Source organism: Homo sapiens, chromosome 13, assembly GCF_000001405.40.
Source record: "Homo sapiens chromosome 13, GRCh38.p14 Primary Assembly".
Lineage (NCBI taxonomy): Eukaryota > Metazoa > Chordata > Mammalia > Primates > Hominidae > Homo > Homo sapiens.
In genome coordinates, this window is record NC_000013.11 from 35,913,758 (window position 1) to 35,938,948 (window position 25,191).

General features: G+C 43.2%; 1 protein-coding gene across 6 annotated transcripts in view, besides 2 other annotated features; it reads right to left on the reverse strand.

The window, feature by feature from the left end:
• DCLK1 (doublecortin like kinase 1) overlaps nucleotides 1-25,191 on the reverse strand; it is a 363,288-nt gene that overhangs the window by 145,106 nt on the left and 192,991 nt on the right. The window lies entirely within an intron of this gene.
• Nucleotides 2,991-3,733: an enhancer, noted in NCBI's record as "H3K27ac-H3K4me1 hESC enhancer chr13:36490885-36491627 (GRCh37/hg19 assembly coordinates)". NCBI's record gives its function as "activates a minimal SCP1, AML or CMV promoter by ChIP-STARR-seq in naive H9 embryonic stem cells {active_cell/tissue: H9 hESC(naive)}" and the evidence as "EXISTENCE:reporter gene assay evidence [ECO:0000049][PMID:30033119]".
• Nucleotides 8,701-9,693: an enhancer, noted in NCBI's record as "H3K27ac hESC enhancer chr13:36496595-36497587 (GRCh37/hg19 assembly coordinates)". NCBI's record gives its function as "activates a minimal SCP1, AML or CMV promoter by ChIP-STARR-seq in primed H9 embryonic stem cells {active_cell/tissue: H9 hESC(primed)}" and the evidence as "EXISTENCE:reporter gene assay evidence [ECO:0000049][PMID:30033119]".

Sequence of the window (25,191 nt, forward strand, 5' to 3'; positions counted from 1 at the left end):
AGAAATGTTGAAAAGAAACTAAGGCTCATGCTTCTAGACAAAACAGAAGTTACGGAAGCATAATATATAAAAAAAATTCAATGACTAGAACTTGGCAGTTTAAAACTAAACTTGCAAAGGGTAGGTAACCAAGTGCTGTCTACCTGAGCAGGGCACTGTCCAGGAAAGATGATTATTTTTTCTTAAATTCTAGCCTGCATTATTTTAATTCCAATTTGGTTATGTCAGTTAGTATAGGAAAGAGGTACGAATTTTTAGGAAATAAAAAGATATATTAGGGCTGGGCACGATGGCTCATGCCTGTAGTCCCAGCACTTTGGGAGGCCGAAACAGGAGGATCTCTTGAGCCCAGAAGTTAGAGACCACCCTGGGCAACATAGTGAGACACGCGTCTCTACAAAAAATACAAATATTAGCTGTGTATGGTGGCATGTGCCTATAGTCCCAGCTACTCGAGAGGCTGAGGTGGGAGGATCACTTGAGCTGGAGAGGTCGAGGCTGCAGTGAGCTGAGATTGTGCCACTGCACTCCAGCCTGGGCAACAGAGGGGAGACCTTATCTCAGAAAAAAAAAAAATATATATATATATATACATATATATATATATATATGTATATATATATATATATATATAAGCAAAATTATTGCTAATTGAAAAGAGAACTGAAACTAACCAAGGCCAGACACAGTGGCTCATGCCTGGAATCTCAGCACTTTGGAAGGCCAACGTGGGTAGATCACTTGAGGCCAGGAGTTCAAGACAAGCCTGGGCAAAATGGCAAGACCCTGTCTCTACTAAAAATACAAAAATTAGCCAGGTATGGTGGCACAGCCTATAGTCCCATCTGCTCAGGAGGCTGAGACACAATGATCCCTTGAGCTGGAGAGGTCAGGGCTGCAGTGAGCTGTGATCACACCACTGCACTCCAGCCTGGGTGGCAGAGTGAGATTCTATCTCAAAAAAAAAAAAAAAGAAACTAACCTAATATTTTCTGAGGCTGCCAAATTCTGGGCTGTTTATGAACCATCTCACGAAAAGACAGAAGTTTTTTTGAAGGCAAAGATCATAGCTTATTCATCATTCTATCCCTGGCAATTAGTTGAAGGCCTGGCAAACAGTAAAATCTCATAATTCAATCAAATATAAAGAGGAAGGAGATGACTTGAAGATGAGTAAAAGATCACTGGAGAGAGCCAATGATTTTAGGAATTGTTTTATGAGGCAATAAGGGGCAAATAAATACTGAAAAGAAACATTTATTGTTGCATTATGCTTTGAAATCTACTAAATGTATCCAAATTTCCCATGAGAAAGTTAACTGCTATTCAGAGAATTCTGAAACATAAAAATAAGTTAAGCTCAAGTATAATGCTATCATAGCAGGCATTTGAAGCAATTTGTTAATCCTTAGAACATATCACTATTTTGCAGATTGAAGAAATAAAAAATTATGTTTTTTCAGAGTCACAGAAACTCAATAGTTCTAGGTCAATACTATGAACCATGCTGAAGAGAATAACTTGGGTAGTAAGTGTTGTAACACGGAGGGGGTCCCTTTAAATCATAGCACCCTGATGTTACCAGCCGCAAAGGCTGTGTATCCCCAAACTATATTCCCTACTTTTGACTCCTGGAGTTACCTATTCAAAGATGAGTTTTAGGCTGGGTGTGGTGGCACACACCTGTAATCCCAGCACTTTGGGAGACCAAGGCAGGAGGATCGCTTGAGCTCAGGAGTTGGAGACCAGCCTGGGCAACATAGCAAGATCTCTTCTCTACTAAAAGAAAAACAAAAAACTAGCTATGTGTAGTGGTGGGTTCCTGTAGTCCCAGCTACTAAGGAGGCTGAGGTGGGAGAATAACTTGAGTCCAGAAGTTGAGGCTGCAGTGAGCTGTGATCACACCACTGCACTCCAGCCTGGGTGACCCTGAGACCCCACCTCAAAAACAAACAAACCAACAAAAACACAGAGCTGAATTTTCAGTCTGAATAATAATTTTTTTTAAAAGGCTAAGAGCTATGCAAAGGTAAGTAATCTAAACATTCAAAGAAATGTTGAGTTACTACTTTACTTATGTTTTGATTGATCACTAACCTGTGTAGGCTGCCACCAAATAAAAAGTGAGGCAGCTTTCTTTCAAAGCTCATTCAAATGTTCAAGCCTGACACATCCGTTTGCAAAGAAGAATAAGAGTAAGTATTTTAAAACAATTAAACAAATCAAGGAAATTTGATTTTAAGGATGGGAGTCAAAGGTGAGTCTCAGGTCAATGCAATCCTTACCCTAAATCTAACCTTCAGGCTCTGCGTGATGAGGCACTTACCTTCTGCAAAAAGGATCTTCAGGTCCCTGTTAGCATAGGCTTACACTAGATTTCCAAGATGCCAGGGAGCAAAACCCTAAGAATCCCATGGGCAAAAGAAACCAAAACACCCATAACAAATAAGCACCATAAATAACGTTTGCATTTGAACACAGAAACTGATCAGCTATATTCAGGACAGAAATAGCAAATGAGCATTTGAAAGGGATCTGGTGACCAGTAACTGCAACCCAGAGCCCTGTACATTATAGAAACACAAAGTGGATTAGCACCATCTGGGACTTCCAGGCAGTCCCTCTGACCCTCTAGGCAGCTCTCTTCCCCCTCTGCCTCTCCCTCCTCTGCCCTCTCCATCTTCCTTACAATTAGCCTTGGTTTCCTTCCCCCATGTAAGAAGCCCAGCCCTGCCTTCAACAGGAACATACAGCAGAGGCGCAACACATTTTAAACTTCCATCTTCTGATCCTGCCCTTCTCCTTTGTTCTTTTTATCTCTTTCTTTTCTTCACTTATATTTCCCTCTCTCTTTCTCCTCCTTCCTTTTTCTCTCCCTCTATGTCTCTGTAGATACCCTTTCCTTAGCAGGTCAAAACATGAAACTTTAATACACACACACAGATACACATGCATGCATACATATTACATATGTGATGGTGAATATCTATCTATCCCTATCTTTAAAAAATGCTCATGGGATTGTGACAAGGTTCAGGACATGCTGTCCTAACTACGGCACCTTGGAAGGTGAGGGCATTCAGGAGGCAGCATGTGCAGGAAGGCCTCTCAGACCTTCCACCTCCCTTCTCTCCTGCAGCAGGTCATAAAACCTAGAAAGGATTTTCTGACCTTCCAGTGAAGCTGATCATAAGACCCTCCCTCACTCAACAGGTGGCCTTCTTCTACCTCGAGGAAAATAGCATCATTATCGCTGAAGACACAGGGCCACAGAGAAGAATCTGAACAAACAGGCCTTGCTTAACCCCCCAGTTCATGACACTTAACTCATACCCTTTTTGCCCTATCACATTTCTCCATGACTGTCCACCCTTCATCAAATCTAGCACAAAAACACACAGGTTGAACTGTTTCTATGGGTCGTTGTTTCCTTATGAAAACTCTCGTGTCACACGAAGCTCATATTAAATAAATTTGTATGTTTTTCTCTTGTTAATCTGTCTCTTGTTATAGGGGCCTCAGCCATGAATCTACAATTGGAGAGGAAGAGGTATTTTTCCTCCCCTATAATTGCATATAACTAAAACAATAACGCTGGATGGAGGCAGGGTTTTGTTCGGTTTTGTTTGCTATTGTCGGGCCCTCAAATAGCATTTCCTGTGGTCAGTGATGCTTCGGGGGTTGCCAGGTTGTGGCACACCCGGCTCTCCAAAGGTGGGAGCTTTCAAGCAATCCCGTCCTACCTCTAAACACAGAACACCTGGCAGGGACTTAGGAGGTGGAGGACAAAGCCTCAAGGAGGAAGAAAAGAAAAAGAGAAAGCATGCCAAGCCTTGTGTGATCCAGTTTTCTTCTCGGCATGTTATAAATTAAACAACAACTGAAAACAAAAAGAAAATGAAAGCTTATAAACTGGATACCTACTGAATTCGAAACCCAGCTGCATGCCCCCCACCTACCATGCCTCAAGTACCATGGTAACGTGGCATTTTCAAAATCATTAGTTACCCTGGGAATATTTTAGGCAGAGCTCAGCAGAGCATTTCCTGTGGCGGGGGGCAGGGCGGGGAGGCCTCCAGTGGAGAGGCGTTCTCTAGCTGGGCTGGAGACTGCACAATTGGCCTGACACACATTTCAGAATTTGGGGAGAATTCCAGAGGTTCAGGCAGCCACGGGCAAGGGCAGAGAGCCGCCAGCTCATGCCCCTGAAAGCCAGACAGAAGAGAAAACAAATAGAGACCATGTCCAAACCCCACCATTAATCTGCTATTCTCTTCTCTAAACACTGTTACAGTCAAATGGCAATGCTTATTCTTAACAGGCATACTAAGATGTGATCATTTCAAGTGACAAGCAAAAAGAATGAATCCTTTCTACGTATCCTCATATGACTCATAAGGCATACACAAATTTTTATTTTTCTTTCTAAAATGCATTAGAGAGTAAATTTGGAATAAATGTACTCTTCCCACCAAATCCCGATACAATATGTTCTATAAATTGCATCAAAGTTTGTAATAAAAGGAACATATGTTTGTCAGAGGTGGTTGCAATAGGTAATACCCGGCAGACAGATCATCTGTGAGGTTGTGTGGATTCAAACCCGAAACGTGGAGGAGTGGGGAGTTATGTGGGGTAGAGTGTTTCAGCTTATGTGACCATGGAGAGTGTTCCAAACATTAATCACTAAAAGTTAACTGATTCCAATGTCATATGACACTTATTGCATAGTAGCTTCCATGGACTGGACTCTCTCACCACATTGAAGACAGAGTGGGATCATAAAACCAGCCCTGATTTTAAAGGGCTTAGATTCCAACTCTTATGGTCTTTGTTCGATCATTCAACTGTTCAACAAACATTTGTTGAGCAACTACTGGGTGCGAGGTACTGAAGACAGAGCAGTGAACCCCCAGGAAATCGCCTAGCCTTCCTAAGCCCATTATTGGCAAAGAAAAATGGGCACTAATCATGACTGGCCGTATCTACCTCACAGATAGTTGCACAGCTCAAATAAAGGGATTTATGAAAGCATCCTGAAAATGGGGAATGTCTATAACAACACAAGTGCTCCTATTTAATTAATTGTCTTATAATTTGTTAAAGGCCAAAAAGAAATCTTCCTTCTGAGTGTGTTTTTTTTTTTTTTTTTGGAAACGGAGTCTCACTCACTCTGTCTGCTGCCCAGGCTGGAGTGCAGTGGTGCAATCTCCCAGCTCACTGCAACCTCTGCTTCCCAGTTCAAGCAATTCTCCTGCCTCAGCCTTCTGGGTAGCTGTGGTTACAGGCATGCGCCACCATGCTTGGCTAACTTTTGTACTTTTAGTAGAGACAAGGTTGGCCAGGCTGGTCTCGAACTCCTGACCTCAAGTGATCCGCCTGCCTCAGCCTCCCAAAGTGCTGGGATTACAGCCATCAGCCACCACACTCGGCCCCCAAGAGTTTTAAAACAAGTTTTGGTACTAATTAAGTTTTTTAAAAGTGCATTTTTTTTTCATTCTGGAGCTAGCAGATTCCCATCTTTGGGAAGAACAAATATCTATTCCTTTGCCTCAGGAAGACTTCTTCAGGCTTGTAGCGTCTAAGGCAGTGTGTGGTGTGAATTCTATAGCATCTTCAACAAACCAAACCACACAAACCCTTGCATCCAGTGGTTTCAAACATTTTAAACAGGGGATTGTTTCTTAAATCTTATGCAGAGCCCAAATGTTTACACAGATGCCAGTGGGGCTGCTCCGGCTGAAGGAGAGGGTTTTTATTTTGGCTGCAAACTCTGAGGATCTTCTTGGAACCCCAGAGAACGCTGAACAGTTTGACCATAGCCCTCTCCCAGACTCCTCTCTTTTTCCAGAAGACACTACAGCATAATGGTTAGGCAGGCTGGATTTGCAACCTGGTTTCAACAATTAAAAGTTTACCTTGGCTGGGAGCGGTGGCTCATGCCTATAATTCCAGCACTTTAGGAGGCTGAGGCAGGAGGATTGCTTGAGGCCAGGAGTTTGAGATTAGCCTGGGCAACACAGTGAGACCCCACCCCTCTCAAAAAAAATTTTTTTTCATTAAAAAAAAGAAAAAAATGTTTACCTTCTTTAGACCTCATCTTCTTCCTCTGTACAATGAGGATAATGATAGTAGCACTCTTGCGGGGGGGTGGGGGGGTTGTGAGAATTATATAAATTCACCCATGTAAAGTGCTTACGACACAGCCGGCAAATAAAATAAATACATTAATCAGTAGCAATTTTCCCCTTCAAGTCCACCTTTATGCCACTGCCAGATTAATTTTCTTAAATTACTACATTCCATGTGTGATCCTCGTGTTTCAAACTTCACAATGTTCTTCCTCCACTATTATATACCAAATAAATGATAAATTCCTTCTCCTGATATAAATGTATATGGACATCTCTCTACTCGTATCTGCAACTATGTCCACATCTTCAACCTTCCATGAGACTTTCCAGCCTCATTCATCTGTCTCACCTTCCACTCCACAGACCTGCCCTTCACGTGTCCTTGCCTTGACACGTATGGAGCATAGCAATGCACATAGCATCACGGAAGGGACTAGCTGTGAAGTGTATGACAATATCCTAATTGGGTTTTCTAAGTAAATCAGTGAGGCAGAGTCTATAAAGGGAGAAGATAACGAGAAAGCTCAGTAGTGTGTTTCAAGTGTAAAATGAATAGCAAAACCAAAAGCTTGAACAGGCTAGGGCAGTTGGTAAGTGTATTCTCAAGGAGTTAGGCTTGAAGCAGGAATTGAAGGGAATATGAGCCAAGTGAAGGAAAATGCACGGGGGTTGTGGAGGAAACCAATGAGTGTTACGGATGGGGCCAATGAGAGACAAGGTTGAGACCATGGAGGACAAGAAGGGTGTTCTTGGTCCTACACACACTGGTTCATCGAAAGTTTTCTAAACCGGAGATTGAGGGCCATGAATCTGCAGGCTGGGTGCAGAAGGAACCGGGGTGGGAGGTGCCGGGAGGAGGGACACCTGCTCTGGGGTCATCTCTAAGCAGCATCCCCCATACATACACAGCTGCGTGTATCTCCTTCCCAATTGCTTCTCCCTGTCACCACCCGATGTGGCCCCCAGCAAGGAAATTGCCCGTGGTCCCTCACCTATTCCTCTCCTCACTCCCTGCATTCAGTAAGTCACCGTGGCCACTCATTCCTGCCATTCCATGTTTCCTAATTCTGTCCACTGCTCCCTGCCCCCCACGGCCAACAGCCCACAGCAGGCCACCAACACCTCCACAATGACTATTTTGAAGCGACCTAACTGGTTGCCCTGCATTTACCCCTGGGTCCCTCCAATCCATTCTCAGCTGCTTTCAAAGAGATCTTTTGAAAATGCAAGTCAGATCACGTCATACCCTGCTGGGACCACATCCTATTATTCCCAGGATATCCCAAATCCGTAAAATGGCTTTAGAAGGTTTACCACAGCCTGGCCCCAACCCTGTTTCCTACCACTTTTTCTCTCCCTCCTTCTACTCTAGCCACCTGGATTTCCCAGTTCCTCAGCTGGCTGGTATTCAAGTGTGTGTTCCCTGTACCTGAAAGCATTCTTCTCTCATCCCACCTGCCCGGCCACAACACCCCACTCTCACCCCTACATACCCATGGAGCATCAGACCCCACCTCGGGCACCAGCTAACATCTATCACTCCTTCAGGTTTCAGCAGAAATTCGACTTCCTCAGAGAAGACTTTCCTAAAACCCAAACCTTAGATCCACAATGCATGGTCTCACAGCCCCTTGTATGTCCTTTTTCATAGTACACATCATTCCTATAATTATTCCTTTAAGGTCCTGTCCCTATCTCACATGAGACCTTAAGGTTCCATGAGGCAAAGACCATGTCTGTCTTATGTAAATGGCAGCAGCACCCAGAAAGGTGTGTGGCCAAAGTGAAACAAATGAAAATTTGTTGACTGAATGAAGAGAGGAATGAAGAGCGCTAAAGAATCTCCCACAGTAACTCAGAGAATGAAAGAAGGACCTGGTGACATTTGGCAAGATATATTATGGGGCTGATGACTGTGGGAAGGGGCAGGTAAGGTGGGGAAAAGACCAGGTGACAGGGCAGAGATAAAGTTGCCACCCCAGGAGCTGGGAGGAAATGGTGTCAATGACACAGCTGGATGTCTGGACTAGAAACTGAGTTTTGGAATTTCATATGTTGGGTAGAAGTAAAAATAAATAGAGAAACATAGTGCCTACTACCTTAAGTGCTCCATACAGCCTCATTGATGAAGATAAGTTCTATCCAACAAAAACCTTACCAAGGCTAGAAACCCTGTCCTGACCTTGAAACATATAGGTAGGGCGGTTTTTGTTTACTTTTTAAAATCATCACTTGAGTTGAATCAGGGCTCACTTTCAATCTCTGCTATTTCTCTTAAGATCATTATGAGAAAGTGACTGAAAAAATAAATCAAATTTTTTAATGTAAATAATAGGTACTATAATTTCACAGCTTTGCACACAGTTTGTACCCAATAAACATTTCTTGGGGGTGATGGTAGCTTGTTTCAATTATCTTCTACCTATTACCTTCCCTTTCCCCATTACTCATGAATTCCTTGGGGAGAAGGACCACATATCACCCATGCCCTGCACACGGCATCAAGTTCAGAGCTACGCATGCAGCAGATGATCAATAAATATGTCTTGATTGCCTATTAGATACAGCATAGAGCATTGGCGGACAGTCAGACCCAGGTTCTGAATCTATTTCTTTGACTGTACAATGTAACTGAAAACCTCTATCTCTGAACAAGAATATTGTGAGGATTGTAGGCAATAGCACACAAAAAAAGCACTGCGCAAACTGCAAGAACACAAAACCTCACACTTGCCATTATTATTAATACAGCTTGGAATTTTAGCACTGGAAGGGAACGGATGGAGATGGAGATAGAAAGGCATTGTTATGTATTGGGCATAAATCCTGGTTGAAGACTAAGCCACACACCTGGCATGTGTTATTGTTTTCAATCCTCACAATAAACCTGTGAAGAAATGGGCTCCAAGCTATTGGACACTTTCCCAAAGTCACACAGCTTCAAGTGGCCCAAGTGGTGTTAAAACAGATGTTTGACTTCTAAGCCCCCTGCCATCCCTGGGCACCTGGAAGCCTGTCTCAGCGCACCCATCTGCTTTAGATCTGAAGAAGCAGAGGCCCGGAGAGCTGCCTCATGGGAACGATGCACCAGAAATGAAGATCCAATCCTGGTTACCTTTCCTTGTTCCTGAAAGTGACTTGGCTTCTCTATCAGAACTTTAAAGAATTGGAGTAACTGCTATGAATCAATTGGGAACTTAAGTAAAGTGAACAGGTCGACCAGCCAGTAAACTACCCAGGAAAAGAATGCAGGAACTCCAGCGGGAAAGACCCCTGGGTGGATCTCCCAGGGTTGTGCACTGAAATAAAGGATTGTGACCAGATGAAAGCAACTGATGGGGACTTTAGAGACGGGGGTCTCAGGACTCAGGTGAGATGCTAAGGGACCTGCTTGACAAGGTCACACTCCAGTTTGGTTTGGAGGAGAGCTTGACTTCCAACCCGGCTCTGGAGCACAGTCCAAGATGCCACTAGCTTCACTTTCTTTTTTTTTTTTACCACCTTTCCCCTGAGCTGTTGAAGGGCATCTGAGTCACTGGGAACACGGCCAGGGCTTGGTGGGCTGCCCTGGGCCTAGGGAACATTGTTAAGGAGGAGACAACCAATTCTGTGGGTGTCAGGAGGCTTAGGAGGGAGCAGTGGGGGGTAGAGAGGCTATGGGACAAATGATAATCTGGTGGCACTAAACATAAAGGACACACGCTGGCTCAGCCCCTGATTCACCAGTGAGTCACTGTCTGTGAGCAGAAAGTATGGCCCTGAGTTGTATTTCAGAATACCACTCAGGGAAAAATATTTCCCTGCTATCTATTTCTATATGCTGCAGTTCCTGTATTACTAAGCATTAACGTGTTAGACATAAGCCACACACCTGTCCGAGAAGGGTGACAATTTTGTGAAGAATGCCCTTGAAGGACAGAAGAAACCCTGGGGGTCTGTTAGCCCTTGCTGTCAAGAATAGGACAATAAATTCAGGGAATTTTGATGCTCACAAGACAGTAAGAAGCAGAACAAATGCACATGCTAAACTAGACCCCCTTCTAGCAAAAGGAGAGGTCATTAAGGACCAGAATAGTTCGAGGGATCATAAGGATCTGGGTATTTCAGCTGTGTTTCCAATTACCACGTCACCCACCATTTACTCAAGTATCACAGCCGAACTGCCTTTGACTCCCATCTCTCCCCAGTGCTCCCCAAAGTATACTTCTCCCTGACCTTTCCAACCTGTCCATGACTTCTTCCCTTTAAAGCCCCTTGATGTGTGCAGCTGCCTCATCTGGTTCAAGACCTCTATGTCTCTATGAACTGCTGAGTCTGATTAAAGTCCAGAGTTTCTGATGTGAGATAAGTGGGGGCAAATCTTTTTTTTTTTTAAATGGCTGTCTCAGAGCATCCAGCAGACCGTTACAAAGGCTTTCTTGTCACCGTCAAGACCAAGTCCTGGATCCATGGATGAGTCTTGAAATGGAAGGCTTAGGCCGGGCACAGTGGATCATGCCTGTAATCCCAGCACTTTCGGAGGCTGAGGCAGGCAGATCGCCTGAAGTCAGGGGTTTGAGATCAGTCTGTCCAACATGGTGAAACCCTGTCTCTACTAAAAATACAAAACAATTAGCTGGGCATGGTGGCACACACCTGTAGTCCCAGCTACTCAGGAGGCTGAGGCAGGAGAATCGCTTGAACCCAAGGTGAAGGTTGTAGTGAGCCGAGATCGTGCCACTGCACTCCAGCCTGGGTGACAGAGCAAGACCCTGTCTTAAAAAATAAAAATAAAAAAGAAATGGAAGGCTTAGTATTCTTAGTATTCTGCACATGAATATTTATTTTTCTGGAGTAGGGTCCATACCTCTCATTAAATTCCCATGAAGGAGCATATTCACCAGAAAACTAAAAATCAGTGGCTCTGACCAAAGTTCAGCTAACTATAGCCTGAAAGCCAAACCTGGCCCATTGCCTGTTCTTATGAATAATGCTTTATAAGAATACAGCTACCTGTACATGTTTACCTATCATCTATGGCTGCTTTCACATGAGAATAGTAGAGCTGAGTAGTTGCAACAGAGACCATATGGCCCAAGAAGGCTAAAATATGCACTATCTTGCTTTTTCCAGAAAAAGGCTGCTGACCTTAAATTTAGACAAGCTCTTTTTAGTACCATCCACTACAAGAGCACTTACTGGCTAATAATTCACCACCAAAATTCAAAGGTGAGCAAATGATTTTAGAATAAAAGTTTCCTGGCTCTGATACATTTGCAAACTTATAGACATCTACTACAGATTGGCCTGTCGTCTTTGGAAACCTATTGGGCAGAGGAGCGGCCAAAGGAGAAGCTAGTTAGAATTCTTCCAAGTCTACCTGCTACGGGCATCTTGGGTCAAGACTCCTTTGCAAACTGCTAGAGAAGAGGTAGTCAGGCAAGAGAATTGTCATCACTCTAAATAATTCAGAGTTTTGATGCTGGCTACAAACCAAACATGAGAAATTATATAATTAGCAGCAGCACATTTAAAAGACGATATAAAATATGCTAATGTTCTCACCACGTGAAGGCAAAGCTGCAGAAACGATGCCATATATTAGCTAGCCTAGGATCAGTCGAAATACAGAAAAATCTCTTAAGAGCATTTTAAAAATAATGATATCAATCAGTTTGATAGAATGCCTTTCTTGGGCTACAAAATAGGTTAACAAAAAGTCTTATTCCATTTTAATGTGTTTTAAGTTACTCATGTCCATTTTCAGTGCATTTTTTGATAAACAGCATATTATGTTAATTTTATTATCTTTGAGTCAAGAACTACCTTTTGTGTGTTTGGTTGTTGTTTTTATTTTTATTCTTATTTTGGATAGATCTCACCATTCTGACCTATTTGCTGGCTGATCAGTTTACATATACGGACTCTAATTATACACGTGCATACTCTTCATTCACTCTGCAGAGAACAAAGCAAGGAGATACCACAGAAAATATGACTACACATCCAAGATATGCAGTGTAATTCTGTTAGTGTTTCCCATGCTTGAAATCTCAAGACCTATATGCTTTACTTAAACCCGTAGTTTGCAGTTTGTATACAAAACTAGGTGTCCAGAGCTAGGGGTGAGAGTTACACATATTAACAGTCTCTTGGCCAGAAGGGAAGAAATATTTGCAAATGTAATCTTTTTTTTTTTTTTTCCTGAGACAGAGTCTCACTTTGTCGCCCAGGCTGGAGTGCAGTGGCACGATCTTGGCTCACTGCAATGTCTGCCGCCCAGGTTCAAGCGATTCTCCTGCCTCAGCCTCCTGGGCAACTGGGACTACAGGCATGTGCCACCATGCCCGGCTAATTTTTGCATGTTTAGTAGAGATGGGTTTCGCCATGTTGGCCAGGCTGGTCTCAAACTCCTGACCTCAAGTGATCCGCCCTCTTAGGCCTCCCAAAGTGCTGGGATTACAGGCGTAAGCCACCGTGCCCAGCTGCAAATGTAGTCTTATTGTCAGGGACCTCTCAGGAGTCTTATTCCACTCAACAGTGCGCCACATGCTGGAATTTCTAAGCTTTCTGCTTTGGATTGTCAAGCAGCCCTTGTACCATTTTCCAATCTGAGTTTGCTAAGCATTGCTGCTGACTGTGGATGGCCTCTTCCTGGGAGTTTCACCACAAGCTAGCATCCCCCACATTCACTAGCATATTGTTCAGATAAATGTTTGTTAAATAGTTCACACTAAAGATCTCAAATTTGCTCCATTTTAATCAAGAGATGACAGTTTCTTAGAACTGAAAAATAATATCACCAAGTAGTAATATTTGTCCATTATATTACAGCCTTGCAACATGGTTTTCACCTACATCATCTCTTTTGATCCTCATGACAATCTTTTGTGATTGGTACTACTTTTGTCTCTCTTTTACTGTGGACCTTAACTCAGAGAGGTTAAGTAATTTGTCCAGGGTCACACAGGTGAGAAGGGCAGGAGTTGGTGGGACCCATGACCCCCATCTCCAGAGCTGGTGCTCTTCCAAGGGCACATTTTAGGCTGATGCTGATGTACTGACTGAATGGTGCAACTTCACATAATGGAATGAGCCCTAGACTGGAAGTCAGCAGCTTTTGGAAGTCAGATGCTTCAGGCCTCAGCTGTGACACTAACCTGCTAGTTGACTTTGGGCCCTCACGTAATCCCTCTGGGCTTTGGCTTCCTCATATTGTGAAATGAAAGAACTGAACTAGAAATTCCTTAAGGTTCTTTCAACTCCAACAATTAGGAATTTTATGGAGCAAAAGTAATCCAGTTTCCAAATTATCTGTCTGAAGGAAATAATACATTGTGTGAAATATAAAGTCTACTCTACAAGCAAATGAAAGAGATTTTGCATTATACATATTTTTAGATGAATCATGCCATAAGTCCATCCTTCTCAATGGCTAAGAGCTAATTAACTAAAAGCTGGCTGTGTACACAGTTGTCAAAACATTTCTATGACCTTTATGCAGAAATCAGACTCTTGAGAAGGGAGTGATCAGCCTCCCTGTCCTGAGCTGGGAGCTAGTCATTTTGCCTTTCTCTGTTTGCAAAGATCCAAAGTCTCTGATAAGTTCATTGTTTTTGTTACACCGTTTGATTTCTCCTTATTATAAGTGTTCAGCATTATTCTCATTACAGAATTAGCGTGGATATCCTCCCCCAGATCTTGACAGCTTCCATGCTGTATAATAAAACATGTGTCTGGTTTTCTTCCCAGGTTCCTGGCAGGGAGCTTCTAAACCCTTGGAAATTCCCAAGTGATAACACTATGTTGGGTCCTTTGGATGACACCAAGTTTATGCTAATGAGATGACTCAGGATGGGGGCCAATCACACCAGAAAGGTCAACCATGTGATTAGAGGGTTAGGGCTTTGACTCATGTGATATCAGCCTGACCTCTGGAGACTCAGTTCCAATCACAGGGCCTATGACGTAATCACCCATGCCTACATAACCAAACCCTGGTAAAGACTCTGGACGCTAGCAGCTGAGTGAGCCTCCTGCTTGATGAACACATCAGTGTGCTGAGAGGGTGACGTGTCCTGATCCCACAAGGAGAGGACCTGCAAGCTCCACTTATGGGCCTCTCCCAGACCTTACCCCTGTCTGTCGCTTCAACTGGCTAGCCCTAGTCTGTAGGCTTTGTAATGAAACTGTAATCATAAAGATAGTGCTTTCCTGGGTTCTGTAAGTTGTTCTAGCAAACTATTGAATTCGAGGGAGCTGTGGGAATCCCTGAATTTGTAGCCAGTTGGTCAGAAGTGTGGGTGGCCTGGGGACTCCTAAATCTATGGCTGGTCCTGAAGCGTGGGCAGCCTTGGTGGGGATGGTGCCCTTAACCTATGAAGTCTGGGCCGACTCCTGGTAGTTGGTGTTGGAACTGCCCTCAGCACTGCGGCCTGCCTGCCACTACTGAGCTGTGCATGAGGACAGGTCAGGCACCCTCTCACCTCAGGCCCTCTGCACTAACTGCTCCCTCTGCCCGGGGATGATTCTTGCTTCTGGGTCCTGCATGGCTGGCTCCATTACCCCTCAAGTCTTTGCTCAAATGTCACTGCTTCCTGAAGTCTTGCCCCCTGCAGCCTCCCCACACCACCCACTCTCCATTTACTCCCTTTCTCCCTTCCCTATTTCATTCTTCTTCATGGCACTTACCTTCCGATACACTAAGTAATTTGCATATGAGATTTTGTATGTTAAATGCATTCCTCTGATAAGATGTAAGCTCTATGTGGGCAAGAATTTTTCTCTCTTTAGTTCACTGTGATATGCCTAGTGCTAAGAGCAGTGCCTGCCCATTGTAGATATTCACTCACTATTAGTTGAATCTTGCCAAATCTATACCTCTATGCATGTATACACATATAAGATCAGGCTCCTGCAATATAATAAATTGAATTCATGTTAATTGTCTATAAGCCCTTGTGGGTAGTATATTGAGCTATGCTAATTTTCATATTTGGGAACCCCATAGCATATGGTGACATTTTATATCTCACTTGAGCAAGAAGCAGCTCACTTTTCTATACACTTTATTTTTTGAGACAGAGTCTCACTCTGTCACCCAGACTGGAGTGCAGTGGCATGATCTCAGCTCACTGCAAGCTCCGCCTCCCAGGTTCATGCCATTCTCCTGCCTCAGCCTCCCAAGTAGCTGGGACTACAGGCGCCCACCACCACGCCTGGCTAATTTCTTGTATTTTTAGTAGAGATGGGGTTTCACCATGTTAACCAGGATGGTCTTGATCTCCTGACCCCGTGATCCACCTGCCTCGGCCTCCCAAAGTTCTAAACACTTTTTAAAAAGCTTATACTAATCTTCTAACTTCTAATGGTATTCTCAGGAAAATTCTGTTGAAAGGCTGTCAAGTGTGAAACAAACAAATAAAAAAAGGTATGAAAACATAAATTTGGCTATGTTAACTTTAAAGTTGAGGGGCAAATCTATAAAAGCAGATTTTTCTTTCTCCAGAGCTAATAAATTCAAAAGCTTTATAACCTCGGTTCTCAATAGTTGGGCAGGGAGCTCTGTGGTCAGATTTGTGGGATGTCCCCACTGCCATATTGTTAGGCTGTCCTTTAGTGGACAAAAGGCAATCACTGGCTCAGTTGGCCCTGGAGTGCTTTCATAACTAAACATAGAGGCTGATTTTTATCTTTGAGCAAGATGATGCTAGTTTCATCCTGCTCTGCTGGCAAAGATTTGCCTTTCCTCATTCCCCTACTCTAAGCAAACATGTATGGATTCTTCTTGTCCATTTGCTGGCACTTCCTGACAGCACTGCCACTTTTCTTCAGCTGTGTCCTCTGATTATTTGACTAGGAGTGATATGAACTTAGAGAACCACACTTCCTTTCATATCTGTTTTAGGTCTTCAGGAAAAGTGAGACTCATGATTTCACAGTGATTCAGCCTATTGAAAAATGAAGATGTCACCCACACAATCATTTTTTTTCTTTTTTTTTTTTTTACTAAAAGCTTATCTATGTGTTTATTTTCCAGAGGTGTTAAGAGAGAAAAACTTAGCTTCAGGTAGTGAAGAGCCATAGAGTATCAGTATCTTATTATATTTTAGTCATTTAGAACACTTACAAAAATAAAAAGCTATAAAGACAGCCTATATACACATGTATCAAATTATTACCCAATTTTGAAGCTAGATTTTAAAATCACCTTCACATCACATATACTATTTTCCACAGGGATTTTCACTTCATCTGCTTTCCTGAAGTAGATATTTAACTTTCCAGAACATTTTTGTTTAAACCCTGAAGTAGATATTTAACTTTCCAGAACGTTTTTGTTTAAACCCAAGAATACTTGACATGCAGTAGGCTCTTAACTAGTACATGTTTGGTGTGGGAAAACAAATGGGCATATTTCAAATAGGAACAAAAACATAAGTTCCTATGCCCTGTGGACCCACACTGAAAGGAAAGTCCTGAAGTTCCCTCCTGTACTCAGGGGTATGTGTGGGTCAGTGTAAGGGACAAAACAATCTGTTGTCTTCCTCTGTAGGACTTGTTAAAAAGAAATTAATTGGATTAGCCAGGCATGGTGGTGCACACTGGTAGTCCCAGCTACTCAAGAGACTGAGGCAGAAGAATCGTTTGAACCCAGGAGAGGAGGTTGCAGTGAGCTGAGATCATGTCACTGCACTCCAGCCTGGGTGATAGAGCAAGACTCCATCTCAAACAAACAAACAAACAAAAACAAACAAAAACAAAAAAAACAAAGCAAAAACAAAAGAAATTAATTGGGACCCCATTAGACTGAGATGATTCCAGCATCTTGGCTTCCTACATAAGCAAGCTGAAATACAACTCAGTGTGAAAGGTAAAATGAAACTTAAGCATAACCCATCAGAAACTGCTAACCAATCTTTAACCAGGGACTTTCCACTAGAATAACCTAAATAAGGATACTGCTCCACTTCAATGAGTCAAACATTTTCTTTGCCTTGAGTCAATGTTCACCTTATAAAAGCCTCTTCTCATGTCACTCTGTTGGAGGCCAAAGAGCTTTTGGTTTGGTGCTGCCCAATTCATGAATTGCTGTCTGTTTAAATAAACTCTTTAACATTTTAATGTGTTTACGTTTATCTTTTAACTGTTTGTTAACCAGCTGCAGACAATCACCCAGACAAAGCTAGGCATTGAATCTGAGGCTCCCTTACGTTGTTTCCCACAAGGAAATGTGAGTGTTAGCATACCTTTTCATTTGTTTTCATTTTATCAGAGTTTCCAGGCAGCTATGCTGTTGGTCTTTGGCTAGGCAGGCCTCTAGCAGCGTAACTCAGTTGGGAAAAACAAGGGCCTGGAAATCAGACCTCTTTTCAACTCTCTGCTATTATTTATCCTCAAGCAGAATTTGGATGCTTAAAGTTCTTAAATGGCCAGAATTAATGACTAAAATTAATAAGATGCTATCTGGCATGAATACAATTAAAGCACTACAAGGAGGTTCAAATATTCAATTAAACAAGTAGAAGCTGGCTTGACATCACGTCAGAAAGCCCCAGAGAGTTCAGCTGGCCAAAAGCTAACCATGAGCCTGCATGGTTTGGCAATTGTTAAAAGAAACCTTAATCATGCTTAGGCTGTATTTGGACAAGTTTGTTGCCTCTATCAAATAAGTTTATATTCTCAATGCTCTTTGAAGCCCCCAAGGAATACTATGTTCTGTTCTAGGTGCCATTTTAGGGAGGATATTGCTGATCAATATCTAGTATTGGATATCAAGAGAAGTGCAACCAGGATAGTGGGGTAGTCTTAAAAGAAACAGCTGAGGAAACTTTGTCTGGAAAAGAAGCTTTTGGGAAGTACCAGGCTATAGTCCTCAGCATCTGATGATTGACAGATGGAGTAGATTCCTTCTGCATCTAATAATTCAGCTAATATTTCCTGAGCTGTTACTACATTCATGGTACCCTGATATGTACTGTGGGATATATGTTTTAATGATACACAGGACCAATCTCAAGGCACTTACAATAAAGTAAGATAAAGTACAAAGTGTCCAGGATCCTCAGTTTTAATTCCAACTCTGTTACCCACTGGGTATGTAACTGTGATGGTTAATTTTATGTGTCAAATTGAATGCGCCACAGGGTGCCCAGATTAAACATTATTTTGGGGTGTGTCTGTGAGGATGCTTCTGGGTGAAATTAGCATTAGAATCAGTGGACTCCATAAGGTAGACTACCCTCTCCAACGTAGGTAGGCCTCATCCAATCCACGAAAGCCTGAACAGAACAAAAGGTAGATGAAGGAGAAATTTACCTTTTTCCTTCTGTCTCACTGCTTGAGCTGGAACATCTGATTTCATCTTCTCCTGACCTTGGACTGGGACTTTCATCATTGGCTCCTCCAGGTCTCAGGTCCTTATTCTCAGACTGAACTGTAACACTGGCTTTCCTGGGTCACCAGCTTATAAACCACAGGTTGTGGGACTTCTCAGCCTCCATAATAACACAAGCCATTTCCTTATAAGTATATCTTTCGTCTATTTCTGTGTGTGTATGTGTATTAGTCCATGTTCACACTGTTGATAAAGATATACGTGAGACTGGGCAATTTACAAAAGAAAGAGGTTTAATTGGACTTTACAGTTCCACATGGCTGGGGAAGCCTCACAATCATGGCAGAAGGCAAGGAGGAGCAAGTAACGTCTTATATGGATGGCAGCAGGCAAAGAGAGAGTGAGGAAGATGCAAAAGTGGAAATCCCCAACAAAAGCATCAGATCTCATGCAACTTATTCACTACCATGAGAACAGTATGTGGGAAAACTCCCCCATGACTCAACTACCAACCAGCAGGTCCCTCCCACAACATGTAGGAATTATGGGAGTACAATTGAAGATGAGATTTGGGTGGGGACACAGGGCCAAACCCTATCTTTCTGCACTTGGCCCCTGCCAAATCTCATGTCCTCACATTTCAAAACCAATCATGCCTTCCCAACAGTCCCCCAAAGTCTTAACTCATTTCAGCCTTAACTCAAAAGTCCACAGTCCAAAGTCTCATCTGAGACAAGGCAAGTCCCTTCTACCTATGAGCCTGTAAAATCAAAAGTAAGTTAGTTACTTCCTAGATACAATGGGGGTACGGGCACTGGGTAAATACAACAATTCCAAATGGGAGAAATTGGCCAAAACAGAGGGGCAAGAGGGCCTATGCAAGTCCAAAATCCAGTGGGACAGTCAAATCTTAAAGCTCCAAAATGATCTCCTTTGACTTCATGTCTCACATCCAGGCCATGCTGATGCAAGAGGTGGGTTCCCATGGTTTTCGGCAGCTCTGGCCCTGTGGCTTTGCAAGGTACAGCTTCCCTCCCAGCTGCTTTCACAGACTGGCATTGAGTGTCTGCGGCTTTTCCAGGTGCATGGTGCAAGCTGTCGGCAGATCTACCACCATTCTGGGGCCTGGAGGACGGTGGCCCTCTTCTCACAGCTCCACTAAGCAGTGCCACAGTAAGGACTCTGTGTGAGGGCTCTGACCCCACATTTCCCTTCTGCATTGCCCTAGCAGAGGTTCTCCATGAGAGCCCTGCTCCTGCAGTAAACTTGTGCCTGGGCATCCAGGCATTTCCATACACCCTCTGACATCTCGGCAGAAGTTCCCAAACCCCAATTCTTGACTTATGTGCACCCGCAGGCTCAACACCATGTGGAAGCTGCCAAGACTTGGGGCTTGCACCATCTGAAGCCACAGCCTGAGCTCTACATTACCCCTTTTAGCCATGGCTAGAGTGGCTGGGACACAGGGCACCAAGTCCCTAGGCTGCACACAGCTCAGGGACCCTGGGCCCAGGCCACAAAACCCCTTTTTCCTCCTAGGCCTCCAGGCTTGTGATGGGAGGGGCTGCTGTAAAGACCTCTGACATGCCCTGGAGACATTTTCCCCATTGTCTTGGGAATGAAAATTTGGCTGCTCGTTACTTATGCAAATTTCTGCAGCTGGCTTGAATTTCTCCTCAGAAAATGATAGTTCCTTTTCTATCACATTGTCAAGCTGCAAATTTTTCAAACTTTTATGCTCTGTTTCCCTTTTAAGTGCTTTTAACAGCCCCTGAGTCACCTCTTGAATGCTTTGATGCTTAGAAATTTCTTCTGCCAGATACCCTAAATCATCTCTCTCAAGTTCAAAGCTCTGTAAATCTCTAGGTCAGGGGGAAAATGCTGTCAGTCTCTGCTAAAACATAACAAGATTACCTTTGCTCCAGTTCATAAAAAGTTCCTCATCTACATCTGAGACCACCTCAGCCTGGACGTTATTGTCCATATCGCTATCACCAAACTTTCCCACATTTTCCTGTCTTCTGAGCTCTCCAAACTGTTCCAACCTCTGCCTGTTACCCAATTTCAAAGCTGCTTCCACATTTTTGGGTATCTTCTTAGCAGCACCCCACTCTACTGGTACCAATTTACTGTATTAGTCTGTTTTCATGTGCTGATGAAGATATACCCGAGACTGGGCAATTTACAAAAGAAAGAGGTTTAATTGGACTTACAGTTCCACATCGCTGGGGAAGCCTCACAATCATGGCAGAAGGCAAGGAGGAGCAAGTAATGTCTTACATGGAAGGCAGCAGGCAAAGAGAGAGTGAAGAAGACGCAAAAGCAGAAACCCCTGGTAAAACCATCAGATCTTATGAGACTTATTCATTGCCATGAGAGCAGTATTGGGGAAACTGCACCCACGATTCAATTATCTCTCACTGGGTCCCTCCCACAACATGTGGGAATTATGGGAGTGCAATTCAAGATGAGATTTGGGTGGGGACACAGAACCAAACCATATCAGTATGTCTGTGTGTGTGTCTGTGTTTGTGTATCCTATTGGTTCTGTTTCTGTTGAGAATCCTGATTAATACAGCGACCTTGGGCAGTTTCTCAACTTCTCCTAACATCGCTTTCATTATTGTAAAGCAACACTGCAGAGGTTTCCTGATAATTAAACGTGATTATTATTCACAAGCTAGATGCATTTTAAAAAAAAATCCCAGAACACACAGCAGAATGAACAACAATGGTATAATAAAGAGCAAAGAGCTGGAAAAAGAATGAGAAATCAGTAACTGATTGAAACCAAGTAGATGGAGAAAGGCTTTACAAGGATGGTGATGTTTGACTTGAACCTCAAAGGACAAGATGGAGTTTGGTGGGTGAGGAAGGAGAAGAGGAAAAAGAGCATTCCACATGAATGAGGCAATATGAGCAAAAGCAGATATTTCAAAAATAAATAGCTTTTGGGAGACCAACAAATAATACTGTGGTTGGAGGGCAGAGGAGGAATAAAGGGTGAGAACAGCTAGAAAGATATAACCCAGTCAGACTACAACTGCCCTAGAATAGCATGCCAAGGAGTCTGTAGGCAGTGGAGGGCTAGGTAAGTCAATTCAGGAGGATTAATCGGGTTCAAACATGGTGTGGAGAGATGAAAAACTGCAACAAGGATGGAAAGTTCAAGCATCTTCATGAGTCTAAATGGGAGATGATGAGGAACTGACCTAAGATAATGGCAGTAGCATTGGAAAGGAGGGGGACAGATGGGCTATGGGGAGTAAAAGTGAGGGGTGAGTAAAAGACGACTCCATGTTTTGCAACCTTGGTGTTGAGAATGCTGATGCCATGAGCTCATCCAGGAAACACAGAACAAGAAATGAAGCTGACCAGGTAGATGATGAGTTCAGTTGTGGGATGTGTTGAATTTCAGGTGGCTGTGGAATAGTCATAGGGAAGTTCATAAGAGAAAGTTGGAAATGTGGTTCTGGAGCTCCTGAGAGGAGTCAGGGTTAGAGATGTATACCTCAAAGGGGGTACATTTAAAGATTAAGGATATATTGTCAAACAAAGACAAACTTGGATTTGACCTCTGCCTTTAATACTATCTGTGTGGCCTTGAACAAATTATTTATCATCTCCAAGCCTTAATTTCCTTAATTGTAAATTTGGGAAAATTATACATCCTTCAAAGGCTTTGCTTATTGCATACCATCTGGTTGCCATTTGTCACCATCACTGTCTACCAGAACCATCATTGCTAAAGCCATTAAAGTAGATGAACTTGGCTAGGAATAGAGAGTAATTAAGTTTAAAAACATGAATGAATCTTAGGGAACAATTATTAAGGGATATATGACAGAAAAGCAAACCTGAAAGGAGCTTAAGAGTATTCAAAGGGGGACAGGCAAAAGACCAAGACAGCAAGACACTATGAAGGGTCAAGGGGAGAGAATTTCAAGGAGGGAATCATCAAAAATGTCAAATGCTACCAAGAAGTCAAGAAGGATAAAGAAGAAAAGAAAAATATAGAACACTGAATATAGTGCTTTGAAGATTATCCTTGCTTAGTGGAACTACTACATATGTTAGGCATAGAAGCCAGTTGCAAATGCAATAGGATTGAAAATGAACATTTCACCCAGACTCCAAGGAGATGTGTATCAGATACCAAAGTGAATTGTGAGACAGATCCTATTCCAGAAATGTCAAAGCAGATATAAACAGTTCTAGACCTTAGTCTTCTTACTCACTTTGAGGACATAAAAGGCTTAAGTTACTAGACAGAAAGCAGATCTATGAGAAGGATTCTTTAAGAGAGAGCCTTGCTGTGAATTCCATCATTCCAAAAGAGGGGCGATGCTCCCCTTCACCTCAATAGGGGTTTCACTGGAAGATTGTAAGTGCTTGATCAGTGTCCTCTGTGGACAGAGGCAAATAACAGACTGGTATTTATGTGTTTGACTTTCACCCGAGAGCCTCTGGCAGAAAACTGAAGGAGGCTTGGCTGTACTGGATGGCCTGTTGTTGGAGGTAAAGGTTGCATGAGTGTTCTGATGGATTTGAGGGCACAAGGTGGCGTGGAACTAATTTAAATTCTTCCCAAGAGGAGCATCTGAGGCCAATAGGGAGGGCTTTGGAAAACAGGGACTGAGAGAGACTCAGCCAAAGCTGGAAGAAACTGAATCAACCACATTAATAAAGAAGAGCAGAATGTTCCCAGTGAGAGTCCCTGAAGAACCCATTAAAACATCCAAAAGAAAAGTTAGCTTTTTTTTTTTTTTTTTTTTTTTTTGAGACGGAGTCTCTCTCTGTTGCCCAGGCTGGAATGCAGTGGCGCGATCTCCACTCACTGTAAGCTCTGCCTCCCAGGTTCACGCCATTCTCCTGCCTCAGCCTCCCAAGTAGCTGGGACTACAGGCACCCGCCACCATGTCCGGCTATTTTTTTTTTTGTATTTTTAGTAGATACGGGGTTTCATTGTGCTGGCCAGAATGGTCTCGATCTCCTGACCTCATGATCCGCCCGCCTCAGCCTCCCAAAGTGCTGGGATTGCAGGCGTGAGCCACCGCACCCGGTCCCAGAAAGTTAGCTTTAAAATCACAGTTCTTGGCCGAGAGAGTTTGAAGCCACCCTATAACAGAATAGTCAAGGAAGGACTTTCCACCTCTCCTTTCTCATCATCCTGCCCCACCCACCTCATCCCCATTCCAATCTTGGAGGGATCAAAACAGCGGGGAGGAGGGAGTGAGCAGGAGAGAAGTCATCAACCCTCCCCTTGTCCTGCAGAGTAGGGGACTCACCACATGCTACATTGGGATCTAGCTAGGTGTGGAAATGGAACTCCCATTTTGAATGACTATTATGTAGGACTAGATATGATGATGGCAATTTTTATCTAGAAGAGTCCACAGACTTTTTTACTATCTTAGGAGGGACCAGAAAAATCTTGGGATTGCTGAGGTGCCATCCAGTGCCAAGAAAGGAACTTCCAGCCTTACATAAACCTCAAAGGATGGGGGAAGACAATTTTTCTAAAAAAACTGATAAAACCCCATAATTCTTGTGTGTTCCATGTACCAGTTACCCAATGGTATAACAAATGATCAGGTTGAAGAAGTGGAGGCTTCAAGGACAGTCATTATTTATTATTATTTTTTAGCAATTTGGCAGAGAAAGAAAGGCAATGTGGTTTGGTGAGATGACAGAGATGACTGGAGGCTCTTTTAGGATAGGAGGAACCTGGGCCTGGCTGTGGGCTGAAAGAAGAGAGACTATAGATAGGGTAAAACAAAAAATCCACGAAACAGTAGGAACAGAACACTGACGAGGCAAGGTCACAAAGAGAAAGAGAAGACAAAGACAAGGGACTATCATTGATTTTTAGAAAAGAAAGGAGACTTCATTTTTTGGAAAGTTGAGGAAAACAGGAGAGAAGATGAGGAAAGATATACGTCATTTTGGTCTAGAAGGAAAAGAAATAACGGAGTTTACAGTGAGTGACTTTGACCATAGGGAAGGGGTAGGAGGGAAGCTCCCCTTAGAATGAGGGCAGTGGGTGGTATTTGTTACTCTGGAGACCAGAACTAGGAGGACTATGTGCAAGCTGGGGAGACATTAATTTGGGCTCAATAACTTGTCAAAAATGAGCACTAGGCCAGGTGCAGTGGCTCACACCTGTAATCCCAGCACTTTGGGAGGCCAAAGCGGGTGGATCACGAGGTCAGGAGATGGAGACCATCCTGGCTAACACGGTGAAACCCCATCTCTACTAAAAATTCAAAAAATTAACCAGGCATGATGGCACGTGCCTGTAGTCCCAGCTACTCGGGAGGCTGAGGCAGGAGAATCACTTGAACCCGGGAGGCAGAGGTTTCAGTGAGCCAAGATCGCGCCACTGCACTCCAGCCTTGGTGACAGAGTGAGACTCTGTCTCAAAAAAAAAAAGCCCTAGCGGACAGTGGAATTGGCCTTTTTCTAAATTTACACCCCATCATCAACAAAGGGTTCCAGTTGGGGATGGAGAAGCAACTGTTGGATGCTGTGGAGAGGGTTTCTGCATCAAAGGGGAGGGGAAGCTGATGACCTCCAAGACCTTTAGTGTCCAGGATTCACCTATAATTCTATATTTTGTAGGGTTTTCCACATCAAAAATTCATGTCACTGTTACTGAATACAATAAAAAGGAAGGCCTGTGAGGACCGGAAGAGAAAATGTAAAGAAAAGATTGCAGATGTTATACAATGCCTTGATTTT